Here is a 14,589-nt window from a genome sequence, read left to right as displayed (position 1 = left end):
GAAGCCTTCCTAGCTTCAGAGGCAAGCATGAGATTTTGCAAATGGCACAGTCTGTCTCCTTTGCTTAAAGTATGCATCACAGATGAGAACTGCGATCCTGTCTCAGTGTTAAAGTACCACCTTGATAAAGCAACACTGTTTAAATTTTTGTTACTGTCATTATTCCTTGACTTTATGTCTCTCTAATGGCAGTGAGCATCCCTGGCCCATCTTTAAGAAAAAGCACTATCTTCACTCCCTGGTTACTGGGGAGCTGACCAAGACACCATAGGAAACTTTGCTACTATTTTTATGCTTAGGATACACAGAGAATTAGACTAGTTACAAGGAGGACTTATGAAGATTCAAAAAATGGGTCCCAGTCGGGCATGGTGGCTCACGCCTGTAATCCCAGCACTTTGGGAAGCCAAGGCAGGCAGATTGTTTAAGGCCAGGAGTTCAAGACTGCTCTGGACAACATGGCAAAATCTCATCTCTACTAAAAATACAAAGATTAGCCAGGCATGGTGGTGTGCATCTACTGTAGTCCCAGCTACTCAGGAGGGTGAGGCATGAGAATCACTTAAACCCTGGAAGTAGAGGTTGCAGTGAGCTGAGATCGTGTCACTGTCCTCCAGCCTGGGTGGACAGAGTGAGACCCTTTCAATAAAAAAAAAGGGGGGGTCTGCAGAAGAGTTACTGGCAAGCATTTCTCTTGTTATGTGTGAAGAGCTTAGGCTGTAAGTAGATCTTAGTAGTCTACATTGGATTTATACAATATGTAAATTTGGGTATGTTTAGCTTTTTTGGAATTCCAGTTAGGGCAATGCACCTAATGTTTTAAAGATGTAAGATTGAGGAGAGGCAAGAATTGGTAAAAAGGGTAGGAATGGAAGAAAAGAATAACATTTATTAACCACTTGCTCTGTGTTCAGCACTGTTCTAGGTACTAAACAGAGTTTCAAGAGAATTTGACATCACTTAAATCAAAAACAGATTCTCTAGAGTGAGAATCAGGAAAAATGGACCCAGAGCTGATATTAGTATGTTTATTTATTGTTGTTATTATTATTATTATTATTATTTTTGAGATGGAGTTTCGCTCTTGTCGCCCAGGCTGGAATGCAGTGGCGTGATCTTGGCTCACTGCAACCTCCGCCTCCCAGGTTCAAGTCACTCTCCTGCCTCAGCCTCCCAAGTAGCTGGAATTACAGGCGCCCGAGACCATGCCTGGCTAAGTTTTGTATTTTTAGTAGAGATGGTGTTTCGCCATGTTGGCCAGGCTGGTCTCGAACTCCTGACCTCAGGTGATCCGCCTGCCTCAGCCTCCCAAAGTGCTGGGATTACAGGCATGAGCCACCACGCCCAGCCGAGCATGTTTATTTTAAAATCAAATTATTTTCATAGCTTAAGCACTACAGAAACTTCACAGCATTGTATAAATTTGCTTTCTGACCACACATAGGAGGCCACATCCCTGTAGGCAGAAGAAAAATTATAGAGAAGAAAATTTATAGAGAAATGTTCAGTGCCTGTTCATTAGTCAGAATATTTTAACAGAAATGGAAGGGAGCTGAGAGAGAAAAATTGTAGCTAGGCTGAGACGAAAAAGGTGAAGGAATTAAAATGTAACATAAGTAACATGCAAGTTAGGGGTGAATGATTTATTTTCTTCTTAGATCCTATGCCGAAAGGCTACGAGCAATACTATAGCTTCACACAGTTTGCGCTGGAATTAAATGAAATGGATCCATCATCAAAGTCTTTATTGCCACCTACTGACACTCGATTTAGGCCAGACCAGAGGTAAGGATTTTTTAAAGATTTTTCTCTCCAGAGATGTAAAACCCTTTACAAAAAGTCTTATTAACAATCCTTAGGCCACCAGAGGCACCTGAGAAAGGTGGAAAATGTCATCAGGAATTGAGAGGTGGGGATGCTTTAAACAATTGTATCACGGAGGAGATGGGGCCCAACTAGGATCCATGTGTGGCATGGCCTTTATTATCTGTAAAGCCCCATTTGCATTGAAATGCCAAAAAAGGTGTTTATTTTGAAGAGTTTTACTGCATGCAGTAATAAAGAACTTAGTGTAAAGTAAGTAAGTTAAAACCTCCAGCTCCCCGAGCCCTCAAATTTAAATGATTTTGGTGCACTGAGATCTAACTGCTGATTCTAGGTTGCTGCTCACAAGGTGTGTGATATATGGTAGGTCTTTTCATCTTTCCTGGCCTCAGTTTCCTACTCTGTAAAATGGAAATAAGAATGTCTCCCCTAAGGCCTTTCTAATTAAGACTCAAAATCTAGAAGCCCAAGGAAAGAAAAGATTGTTACATTTGGCTTTATTAAAAACAAACAACACTTTGGGAGGCCGAAGCGGGCGGATCACTTGAAGTCAGGAGTTCAAGACCAGCCTGGCCAATATGGCGAAACCCCGTCTGTACTAAAAATACAAAAATTAGCCAGGCGTGGTGGCACATGCCCGTAGTCCCAACTACTTGGGAGGCTGAGGCACGAGAATTGCTTGAACCCAAGAGGAGGAGGTTGCAGTGAGCCGAGACCACGCCATTGCTCTCCAGCCTGAGTGTCTCAGTGAGAACTCACACCCCCACAAAACAAACAAACTTAAGCCCTTCTTTATGGCAAAATAAATAAAACTATATATATAAGGTCAAAAGATAAATGACAAACGGAGAAGTCCGTATCTGCAACTCATGTCATGAATTGCCTCTAGAAATCTAGTAACAGATCAACCCATTAGAAAAAATGGACATAGGGAGGTAAATTCATTTTGCAGGGATTGAACACTGTTGTTAGCAAATGCCTAAAAGAGATGTGAAACAGTTTACGTATGTCAGCTGTAACAGTTGGTCCCAAATGGGCCCATTCCCCTAATTTATTTTAAAGAAAGCCATACATAGAATGCTTCAAGCTATCTTGCTATGCACATTATGCTTGTACTGTTTCGTGCAGTTTGTCTACTTTTTTAGGGAAGTATTTTTTGTATAAAGTCTGTTACAATTGTGTTTCTTAAATCAAGCCTAAGAATGGAGTTAATTGGAAATATACAGTATATATTAATAACGTATGTGGTGTTTAAAGAATGGCAAGCATTGTTAATTTCTGTGATGAACATTTTCAATTAAATTTATCTTAAGTTTGTGTTAAAAAAAATGGACATAGGAAAATGAACAGTCCACAAAATAGGAAATGCAGATATCCCTTAAGCATGTGAAAAGATGCTCAGCCTTAATCATAATAAGAAAAATGCAAATTTAAAAATCATGTCGACATCCCAATTTTTAACCTATCAGATTGGCAAAAATTCAGAAGTTTTATACACTTTGAGGTTATGGGAGAAAAGGGCACTCTCAGCATTGCTGATGGGAATATAAATTGGGTATGATCCCCATAAAGGGCAGTTCAGTAATATATAAATTACACACTCACCCTTTCATCCAGCAATTTCACTTCTAGAAATTTCTCCTACAGATTTTTCCTACTTACTCATGTAAAATGATGGATATACAAGGTCATTTATTGCGGCATTGTCACATTAAAATGATTCAAATGATTCAAATGTCTATCCATAGGAAATTGTCTAAATTCATATACATCCACGCAACTGGATATTATGTGGCTATTAAAAAATGAAGATGTATGTACATCCATGGAAAGATCTGTAAGATATATTGTTAAATAAAAAATAAACCAAAACCAAAAATCAAGGGATACATAGCATGCTACCATTTATATTTTTTAAACGGAGGGAGGGATAAGAATATGTGTTAATATTTGTTTATATACACATGAAGAATCTCTAGAAGGATGCAGAGGAAACTAATAAAGTGGGTTTTCTAGGGTGGGAGGGTGAAGGTGGCTGGAATTAGAGACAAGGAAGAAAGGAAGACTTTGCCCCAAATTCTTTTTTGTAGATATAATTTTTGAATTATGTAAATATCACCAATTCAAAAAAATATCTTCTCTGACTACTTCAAGATACGGATTAAACGGTTGGGGCGGGGTCTTACGTATAGGAGAGGATTTTGAATATCCAGTCGTGGACACATGCAAGTTGAGTAGTAATGATTGTTTTGTTTTCTTGAATTCATATCCTTTCATTTTTTTTTCCTCGATGCCTCAGGTTTCTAGAGGAAGGGAACTTAGAAGAAGCTGAAATACAAAAGCAGAGGATTGAACAACTGCAGAGAGAAAGGCGGCGGGTCTTAGAAGAAAATCATGTGGAGCACCAGCCTCGGTTTTTCAGGTTCGTGCCTGGATTGAGTAGGTTTTTGGTTGATAGGTGGTGCCAGCACGTTATGCTTCTGGTTTGCAGAAAGTGAACAGTACTGTCCCCAGATAAGAGCATTCTCCAGGCTTTTCCTGCTTCCACGTGGGGGTACTGCTCCTCTGTGCCAGGCCCTGTCCCCCGCACTTACCTTCAGGCTCTCCCTCTTGCTGACTTCAGACAGGACTAGGGCCTGCATTTTTGCATTCCTTGAGCTTTTCCAGTGCCCTCAGCCAGTGAGTTTGCAGAGGAGCTCCTCAGTCAGGGAGCCTGCCAGAACTGGGTCCCAGCACCAGGCCAGCTTATTAAATCCACAGCTAAGGTTGGTCACCCCCATAGGCATGTTTTACACCATGACAGAGATCATTCACGATCACTCCACAGTTAAGCAGTATGGAAATTCCAAGCAGTCTGTTTCTTGCATTGTAGAAGTTCCAGTACACTTGGGCTTACATTTACTGTTATCTTTAAAATAACTTGCCAAGAAGGTCTTGTTAAAATAGATATAATTTTTTTTTTTTCTGATACAGAGTCTCGCTCTGTCACCCAGGCTGGAGTGCAGTGGCACCATCTTGACTCACTGCAGCCTCCACCTCCTGGGTTCAAGCGATTCTCCTGCCTCAGCCTCCTAAGTAGCTGGGACTACAGGCGCGTGCCACCATGCCCGGCTAATTTTTGTATTTTTAGTAGAGACGGGGTTTCACCTTGTTGGCCAGGATGGTCTCAATCTCCTGACCTCGTGATCCACCTGCCTCAGCCTCCCAAAGTACAGGTAAGAGCCACCGTGCCCAGCCAATAGATATAAATTTTTAAAGGAGGTATGAGAGATCTTCAACCCTTCACCTCCCCATCTCCTCCTATAACTGAGTAGAAGAGAAAGCTCAAGGCAGGTGGGGGATCTGTTGAAGGACTCGGTATAATACCCTGGAATGGGGCCTGACTCTCCTCACTACCAGGCCAGGGCCTATATGATTTTAGTTTTTCTGTTTTCTTTTTTTAAAAAACTTAAATAGGTGTATGTGAAAAAGCAGCAAGTTCCTGCTCTACTCCATCTGCCCAAGTCCTTCCAGGGCCACCAGTGTCTTTTCATTGTTTTGGGATGTTTTTTGTTTGTGTTTTTGTTTGTTTTTAGTGGACAACAGAAGTACTTTTAGGATTTAGTTATTAATAACAGCAGCAGTAATAAAATCTGTATTCCAAAACATCAAAATAGTGACAAATAAGGTTTTGTCTTGAAGAATATGATGCTCTTTTCCCTAAAGTTGATGTAGATTCTACTAGATCCCTTCTGATCATTTCCACAAATTCAAGATATTAGTGATGGAAAATCAACTGGCCAAAATTTCATCCTGAAATATTCAAGCTTCATTTAAACGTTTAAAGAATAAGATGGAAATGTTACATTCTTTTTTGAAAAAGGCAAGAAATAGAAAAATGGATAGATTAACAGACTGATCAGTTGATTTACTGATCAGTTAATAGATAAACACATTACACCCTTAAGTAGGTTGGTTCTTTTTCTTCCATACATTGTCTATTTTCATTTTTTAAAAAAAGAAAAATGTACAATTATGAAGATGTTCATTACAGTACTTTTTAGGATCATTAAAAATGGTAGGTAACCAAACTGTCTCAAGGACTAGTTAAGGAGATTCACCAACTCGATCCAACATGAGGCATTAAGGATGACCTTACGAAGCCTGTGGAGCTCTGCTGGAAACACATTACCATGTAAATGCAAGATACAGAATGTGATTATGCTGTCATTGCAATCAGGAAGGAATTGTGTCTGGAATGAAAAAGGACGGAAAGCTGCTTCAGCTGGGGCGGCCATTGCTCTTTTTCTTTTTGACTGTCTGTAAAATGATCATAGTATTAGATGGGAAAATTTTTTTCAATTGGAGAAAGAGCGAGAGTTGTTCAGCAGTAGCAGTCCTCCTTGGGACTGTTCAAATTAGAAACCTGGCAAAGAGATTTTGGAGAGGAATATGGGGACTTGGATGTTGTCATTAACACTTACTGAGGAACAGCAACAAAATCACTGAAAATTCTAAGTGGAAGCTGGAGCTCAGACCAAATTGAGCCTCTTTGTTTTAAAATAGTGAACTGTCTGATACACAGATTGACTCATTTTTAAACATATAGTGTTACTGGAATAGGGAAACAAGTGTGATAAAAATCTACATTCCTGAGAGTGTAGGAAAACAGGCACACTCCACTTTTGCTTCTAAACCATATGGTAATATCAGTCAGAATCACAAATGCACATACTCTTTGACCCAGCCATGCTAATTACAGGAATTGTTAATGTAACCGTACTCACACACATACAAAATAACATGCCGAGCTAGAGTTTAGAAATAACCTAAGTACCCATCAGTGGGGTACCTATTAAGTAAATTGTGGTCCATCCATACAATGGAATATCATACAACTGTATAAAAAGAAAATGAGGAATCCCTTATTGCTAGAGTCACCAAACTTTTCCTATAAAGAGCAAATGATAAGATTGTTGGTTTTGCAGGCCATCAGGTTCAATTCATTCAGTAGCTATTATGCAGCCCCGCTGTTCAGCATTGAAAGCAGCCATAAACAGTATTTAAACAAATGGACATGGCCATGTTCCAATAAAACAGTATTTCAGAGATACGCAGAAGGCTGGATTCGACCCTTGGGCCATAGTTTGCTGACCCTTACCTTATTGTACTAATCGGAAATGATCTCCAATATGTTTCATTATGTCAAAGCTGAAAGGGTAGAACAGTGTCTGGTACAACATTATGTCAGAATGAGAGGGAATAGAGTGTGTGTTCACACACACACACACGGAATTTCCCTGAAAGAATGAAGCTGATAACATCACTACCTCTGAGGAGAAGAATCAGGAGGCTGGCAGAGAGGGGGAAGATAAAAACTTGAAGCTGTATACCCTTTTGCGCCCTTTGAATTTGGTCTGTGTCATATATTCTCTATTCAAAGAATAGAAAATCAGGACTAATCTCTCCAGACTCTTATGGCTTTCAATTACTTTTTTTTTTTTTTTTTTTTTTGAGAAGGAGTCTTGCTCTGTCTTCCAGGCTGGAGTGCAGTGCCGTGATCCTAGCTCTCTGCTGCAACCTCTGCCTTCCAGTTCCAAGCGATTCTCCTGCCTCGGCCTCTTGAGTAGCTGGGATTACGGGTGCCCGCCACCATGCCCGGCTAATTTTTGTATATTTAGTAGGCACGGAGTTTTGCCATGTTGGCCAAGCTGGTCTTGAACTCCTGACCTCGTGATGTGCCCGCTTCGGCCTCCCAAAGTACCGAGATTACAGGCGTGAGCCACCACACCCGGCCTCCTTTAAAAAAAAAAAAAAAAAGTTAACCACTTCCTATGTACAACCTGGTTGATGTGTAGCTTTTGTGCAGTCATTCCCAAGGTGCTGACAGTCATGCAAGTTATGTTTTGTATATGACAGACTCTCCCCACATCCTCCTCCTCTCAGAAGCACCACTTTTCATAGCCTCTAAGTTTGAGAAGTTAAAGTCGTGTAACAAAATGGGCCAGCGTGGTGGCTCATGCCTGTAATCCCAGCACTTTGGGAGTCCGAAGTGGGTGGATCACCTGAGGTCAGGAGTTCTAGACCAGCCTAGCCAACATGGTGAAACCCCGTCTCTACTAAAAATACAAAAATTAGTCGGGCATGGTTGCACATGGCTGTAGTCCCAGCTACTCGGGAGGCTGAGGCAGGAGAATCGATTGAACCTGGGAAGCAGAGGTTGCAGTGAGCCAAGATCATGCCACTACACTCCAGCCTGGATGACAGAGCGAGCCTCCATCTCAAAAAAAAAAAAAAAAAAAAAGTAACAAAATTATTTCTGGACATCTAATTCCCAGAATTCCCGGTCCCAACACTCTGGGACGCTGAATGCATGTGGGAATGAGGATGGGGAAAGCAGGGAGGTTAGGAAGGAAAGAGACTTGAGAATGTGACGCTGGTTTCAAGAGTCTGCAAGAAATTGTTTCTTCTTTCACAGGAAATCCGACGATGACTCTTGGGTGAGCAACGGCACCTATTTGGAACTTAGAAAAGATCTTGGTTTTTCCAAACTGGACCATCCTGTCTTATGGTGAAAAAGTAAAGAAGAAAGATAACATTAGTGTATTTCTCCTGTGCTTGCCTTCTGAAGTGGCACAAACCTGTGTTTATATATTTAAAAGATACTCTAGGATGATCACTTGTGCTTAGCTTAGCATTGTAACTCTTTAAGTCTATATTTTCCTCAGTGCGTTTCTTTACAATTTCAAATGTTACCCTGATTGTTTATATGAATGTAGAACACCTTGACATTTCTTTTTATATATAAACTATTTAATAAAAATGAAAGATTGAATGTTCATGTGTGGGTTAAAAAAAGAAGCTTTAACACTAATTTTCCAAAGGTTAGGGAAGATTCCAATTAAATTTATGCCTTATAAAATTATGTTGTAGAAAAAAAATCAACCTCTCCCAGGTGCATTAAGAAATAAGAATTCCCAGGGTTACTCACCCATGCGTAAGCTACCCAAGTTTAATTTGGTAGCTGAAATATCTTTTTGCCTCAGACAGCTCTTGAATTGCTCATACAGAACAATTCTGCTGGTGCTGGAGTCTGAAGAATATTTTCATTTGCATTTTAGTGGTTAGGGAGAGGATATAAGATTAATGGAATGTATATTTTTATATAAGACGTATACGGCACCTTCTTGAAAAGGAAGCATTTGAACTTGTTCCTCCCTATAGTTCTATTGCCTTATATGCAAAATTGTACCCTGTTGCTCAGAGAAATTATTCATAAGAGAAAAGAATTCCAATTAATTAAATATCACAATAGCATCCCAGAGAGACAGTAGGAAATTTCTCCTTAGTGAGAGCTGAGTCCTTGAGAAGTTAAGAGACTGTTTCCTGCTTCCCACCCCACCCCGTTTTTTGTCCCTCCGTTTGATCACCTCCCTGTTGAGTATGGAATGTCCCAGTTTAATATAAAACATACAGTTTATTCCACACAGCAGTTTGACTTTGTAAAAGTTTAGCAAAATAACTGATTGTTTTGGATAACTCAACATGTTTTTCTTAAATGCTGTTTTAGTATTTTCTACCTCTTAATAAGCACCATATTTTAGATCTTGTATAAAAAGTTGCCATCTGCCTTATAGACAAATGTAGAGAATTGATGTTCTTGCTTTGTGTTGTGTTCTGGTAAAGCTTTAAGTGAGTGTCTTACCCCTTTCCTATACTTTCTTGTTATCCATATCATTCTTTTGTGAGTTTTGCAGCAGTCTTGAATAATACAGATTATAACTACTGAAAGGGGAACCTTCGTCTTTTTAAATGTGTTATTTCACATTACAATAATATGTGTAGTAGTTGAATTGTGTTATCAAAGCATGTCCAACTTCTGTCCAGATGACATTAAAACCAAAGCCTAATTGTTAAGCCTCTTATTCTAAAGTCCATAGCAATGCTATGGAATATCAAGTATAATGATGTAGTAAAAAGATTTCTCCAGAAAACACTTTGAGATACTTAAAGAAATTCAGAGCATATCGAATGTTATGAATGAAGAGTAAAATAATTACAGGAAAAGAATGCATGATTTTTCATTGTCACACCAAATAACCAGTTGGACAATATTGCATTTTCAAAATGGAGAGTTATTTAAAGTGGATGTGTAGCCTTCTGGAATCTGCACGTGACTGGCATTTTAAAACAACTCATTAAATATTGGATTCATTTTATCGAGATGCCAAGATGAACACAATGTGAATATCATTTCCATTTCTAAGCAGTTGAATGACACAGTCAGATTCTTTGGTGTATGCTTTGTTCTTTCCATCTCAAGCATTTATCCAAATTCTGCTCACAGACATGAGGAAGCAGGCTGTAGATTTAAGGGCACTCAAGGGGAAAACAAATGTAGTTTCCACAGTGTGAGGATAAATGTAGAATCGTGGTAATATTGGCTGTTAAATTGGCCTGCTCCAGAGACTGGCTCAAAAAAGAAAGAAGCAACGAAAACAAAATGCACAGCCTGAATGGACGTAGCACTGTCATGTGGCATTTGGAAAATCTTTAATTATCCTAATGTTATTTCACTTGCCCTTATGCTTTATTTTAGAGTCCCAGGGACAACTGGATGAAACATTACGTCTGTAGTCATCTTATTTGAGATGGGGGTGGGAACGAATTAAAATATGATAGAGAACTATATGCAGATTTTAAAATCTAGTCAGTACTAGCATCTATAAAGGGCTTTTCTGAAATTTAAACAGCTTGGTGATGCATCCTGATATTATAAGCTTAAAACTATCTTGAGGGGGAAATGACTTCTTTTCTCCTTCTGTCCCTTTTCTCAAAAGCATCTTTCCCCCAAATGTATGTCTCTAGGACATTTTATAGTTTTAAGAGGAAGAAAACAGAAACGTGGCATCATTTGGGAAGAACCAAGGTAGAATTTAATTTTCTGGACTTTAAATCTCCTGGTTAAATAATGCTAATCACTGTACCATTTGAGTTACATGTTTTAACCTCTTTTTTTTTTCTAATTATTCCATCCAAAATTTCTGGTGAATTACACAGAAATTTTTGGAAATGGGACTTTGTGCAGGTAACCACCCTGCACTTCAGGTAATGTTCCTGTCACAGCTGTCGACTACCCCACGCTGCAGGAAATCCATTCAGAAATGAGCTAACAGTCTCCAGTGTAGCAGGAGAGCCAGTCACTTCCCTCCCCAGGCCCCAAAGCACCCCAAGGCTGGTATTCCTTGAGTCATAGGTATTAATAATAAAAGCCTCAATGCAGCTTCTCCATGTAGTTCCTCTCCTACAAGCCAGGTGGATTCTGGTCCTAACTAAAGAGATGGGAGTTCACCTGAGGGCAAGAAGTACCCAGGATGCCCAAACAGCCGCACAGGTGTCCTGTGCTTCCTGTGAGACTTCCTGGGGGAAATATACAAACTAATATATTTTTTAATGTTTACGTCATTTACACTGCTGCTTTTCTCATATTCTGCTTTTAATTACTTGTAGTAAATCATTTGTTTGGGCTTCAAGCACTGTCTTCCATCTGCATCTTCCAGATTTATCATGAGTGATCTTGTTCTACTGTTAAAGATGTCAAGCCTAAAAAGTAATAAAGTTTTTATTTGGCTGTTGAACCTTGATGTAGCCCCTACTACATACACTACAAGTTATGCCTTCTGGCTACTACAGAATCTCCGCAGACCTTTTAGTTATGAGTAGAAGCAATAAGAAGGTGTCCTTATGGTCTTAGGAATAATAGTTCCAATGTATTGGCATAATTTGTTTGAATGTCTTTATTTTGATATTAACACCGGCATAAATCTATTTTTGCTACCAGATGATAGCTATTTTCATTTGCTCTATTTTCCTCTGCATTGTACTAATCTGTTACTCAGTGTTAGTCTTCATTTTTCTGTGTTGGAAACCTGCGTCATGTAAATATCTGCAAATCATGACAGTCTAAAGTGCAAACCATTTTCAGAGACTTTGGGGAATGCAGTGATCAGAAGTGGCTAATTTATTTTATTTCTGATTATTTTATCCAGAGGGTACTTTTTTAATGGATATTTGTAAATCTTCCACTTAACCACTGAAAATTATTTTGTTTTAATCCCACCCTTCCATCCATACCTCTGCCTCCCCAAAAAGCTCCTATTAATTTGCTTATCCCCCTCATGTAGCTAGTTGAATGTGAATAAATAACATGGAAAAAAAGGCCACTTTTGTCTTTGTTTTTCCAGGTTAATGGGAAGGTTATTTGGCTGCTAAAAGGGAACAGAACAGGACCCATGCCTGAACTCTTTCAAGGAGGAACACACCAGGTTACTGGAAGTGATGGGGGTTGGAGATAAGAATACTCTGGGACACAAAACACTTGGAAACCATCGAGTCACCATACCTTTTCCCCTAACATTTCCAAGGCACGCCACAATTGTAGAACCCCCTCAGCCCTTGGAAGAGAGAACTGAGGCAACTGGAGCCCCAGACAGGACACCTCCAGCCCCAGGAGCCCCTCTGTCGATTCCAGTGTGCTATGAAAATATTACGGTTGATTCTTGAACAACACAGGGGCTAGGGGTGCCAATGCCCCATGCAGTTAAAATCCACACAGAATTTTTGACTCCCCCAGATCTTACCTACTAATAGCCCACTGTTGACCAGAAGCCTTCCCAACAACACAGATAATTAACACATCTGTTGTATCATATATGTAATATAGACTGTATTCTTATAATAAACCTAGAGAAAAGCAAATGTTACGAAGAAAAACATTAGGAAGAGAAAATACATATACTGTTATTAAGTGGAAGTGGGTCACAATAAAGGTCTTTGTCTTCATCGTCTTCACGTTAAGCAGGCTGAGGAGAAGGAAGAGGAGGGGTCGCTCTTGTTATTTCGGGGTGGCACAGGCAGGAGGAAATCTGAGTATAATTGAACCCACACAGCTCAAATCTGTGTTGTTCATAAGGGAGGAGACCACCCCTCGTATTGTCTTATGCCCAATTTCTGCCTCCAAAGGAAGAAGTAAAAACTAAAAGGCAGAAATGAAATCCACAGGCAGATAGCCGGGGGCATACCCTGGGCCTGGTAGTTAAAGATCAACCCCTGACCTAACTGCTTGTGTTATCTATAGATTCCAGACATTGTACGGGAAAGCATTGTGAAAATCCCTGTCCTGTTATGTTCCGTTCTGATACCGGTGCATGCAGCCCCCAGTCACGTACCCCTGCTTGCTCAATGGGTCACAACCCTCTCACGCAGACCCCCTTAGTTGTAAAGGGACAGGAATTGTTCACTCGGGGAGCTCGGTTTTGTAAGTCTGCCGATGCTCCTGGCAGAATAAAGCCCTTTCCTTCCTCAACTCGGTGTCTGAGGGGTTTTGTCTGCAGCTAGTCCTGCTACATTTCTTGGTTCCCTGACCTGGAAGCGAGGTGATTACCGGGCGGTGGAGGCAACTGCTTAGGAGGCTTAGGCCTGCCTTGTGGAACATCCCTGCGGGGGACTCCTGCCGGCTTTAGTGAATCCTGAGAGTGCTTTCAGCTGGGTAATTGCCCTGGTGGAACGCCTCGCCAGAGCAGCGCACGGTAGGCCCCCGCGGAGGATTAACGCAGCGGCTGAACAGCGGGAAGGAATCGGCGCTTGGAGTCCAGACATCTGGAACACGGTAAGACTGGTCTTGGAACTTGCCCACTCCATCTGAGTGGAAGCGTGGCCTGATCACCCACGGCATGCCTTTATTGGCACCTTGGTTTTGGTTTTGATTTTGACTGGATTTGCACTGTTTTGGTTTAGATTTCGGTATTGACTTCTGGATTTGAACTGTTTTGGCTTTGATTTCGGTTCTGACTTGGCTCAAATTGCTTGATGAATGAGTAACTCCTTATCCATACTTTGGTTTTAGTGTGAATTGCTGGGGGAGTGAGTGACTTTTTGCCCCTTTTTGCCTTCCCTCTTTGTGGTAAGAGTGTTGTTTTGTCTCCTGAGAGAGGAGAATGGGTAAAACACAAAGTAAGCCTACCCCATTAGGAACTATGTTAAAGAATTTCAAGAAAGGATTCAGTGGGGTCTATGGAATCGCTATGACACCTGGAAAGTTTAAGGCTCTGTGTGAGATAGATTGGCGGGCATTAGAGGTGGGATGGCCATCAGAAAGAAGCCTAGACAGGTCTCTAGTTTCAAAGGTATGGCACAAAGTAACTGGTAAATCAGGACACCCAGATCAGTTTCCATACATAGATACGTGGTTGCAGCTGGTTTTAGACCCCCCACGGTGGTTAAGAAGACAGGCAGCAGTAGTACTAGTGACAAAGGGACAGATAGCCAAGGAAGAAAGAGTAGCTCTACTCCCGCCGGTCTCTCCCCTAGGGGAAGAGGAAGGAGACAGGAGAACAGCAGCATAAGCGGCTGGCAGAGGCAAGGAAAGACCAGCAGAGAGAAAAGGGAGAGAGAGAGAGGAGAGAAAGAGAGAGAGAGGAAAGAGAGAGAGAGAAGAAAAGAGGCAAAGAGAGAAAGCAAGAGAGACAGGAAGAGACAAAGAGGAAGTCAAAGAGAAAGAGGCAGAGAGAGAGAGGAAGAGACAGAGACAGAAGGAAGTCAAAGAGAGAAAGAGAGAGATATACAAGTAGTTAAGAAAAAAACAGTGTACACTATTCCTTTAAAAGCCAAGGTAAATTTAGAACCTATAATTGATAATTAAAGGTCTTCTCCGTGATCATATAACACTCCAATACCACTTTGTTGTCAGTGTAAACAAGGGCGTAGCCCGAAAGCACTGAGACCACT

The 14,589-nt window shown here is 40.6% G+C and overlaps 2 protein-coding genes across 37 annotated transcripts in view, besides 3 other annotated features; both read left to right on the top strand.

Annotated features, from left to right (window-relative positions):
* The window catches only part of OSBPL3 (oxysterol binding protein like 3), a 185,309-nt gene extending 173,285 nt beyond the window's left edge, over positions 1-12,024 (top strand). For 34 of the 36 annotated variants that reach the window (NR_104112.1, NR_104111.1, XM_047420146.1 and 31 more), the window contains 3 exons: positions 1,659-1,785; positions 4,124-4,246; positions 8,282-12,024. Coding sequence is in view for 34 of the 36 variants with exons in the window: in XM_047420146.1 (XP_047276102.1) it covers positions 1,659-1,785; positions 4,124-4,246; positions 8,282-8,378 (347 nt within the window). In the remaining 2 variants the exon portion in view is untranslated. Of the gene's footprint in view, positions 1-1,658; positions 1,786-4,123; positions 4,247-8,281 lie in introns of those variants that run through there. The other 2 variants (NM_015550.4, XM_047420152.1) reach the window with 2 other exon arrangements.
* Positions 5,776-6,277: an enhancer, noted in NCBI's record as "NANOG hESC enhancer chr7:24841903-24842404 (GRCh37/hg19 assembly coordinates)". NCBI's record gives its function as "activates a minimal SCP1, AML or CMV promoter by ChIP-STARR-seq in naive H9 embryonic stem cells {active_cell/tissue: H9 hESC(naive)}" and the evidence as "EXISTENCE:reporter gene assay evidence [ECO:0000049][PMID:30033119]".
* Positions 12,808-13,313: an enhancer, noted in NCBI's record as "H3K27ac-H3K4me1 hESC enhancer chr7:24834867-24835372 (GRCh37/hg19 assembly coordinates)". NCBI's record gives its function as "activates a minimal SCP1, AML or CMV promoter by ChIP-STARR-seq in naive H9 embryonic stem cells {active_cell/tissue: H9 hESC(naive)}" and the evidence as "EXISTENCE:reporter gene assay evidence [ECO:0000049][PMID:30033119]".
* The window catches only part of GSDME (gasdermin E), a 97,185-nt gene continuing 95,617 nt past the window's right edge, over positions 13,022-14,589 (top strand). The window contains exon 1 of the mRNA XM_024446670.2: positions 13,022-13,471. The gene's annotated coding sequence lies outside the window, so the exon portion shown is untranslated. The remainder of the gene's footprint in view (positions 13,472-14,589) is intronic.
* Positions 13,314-13,819: an enhancer, noted in NCBI's record as "H3K27ac-H3K4me1 hESC enhancer chr7:24834361-24834866 (GRCh37/hg19 assembly coordinates)". NCBI's record gives its function as "activates a minimal SCP1, AML or CMV promoter by ChIP-STARR-seq in naive H9 embryonic stem cells {active_cell/tissue: H9 hESC(naive)}" and the evidence as "EXISTENCE:reporter gene assay evidence [ECO:0000049][PMID:30033119]".

This window comes from Homo sapiens, chromosome 7 (genome assembly GCF_000001405.40).
Source record: "Homo sapiens chromosome 7, GRCh38.p14 Primary Assembly".
Lineage (NCBI taxonomy): Eukaryota > Metazoa > Chordata > Mammalia > Primates > Hominidae > Homo > Homo sapiens.
Note: the sequence above shows the minus strand (reverse complement) of the source record. Positions and strands in the feature narration are given on the sequence as shown.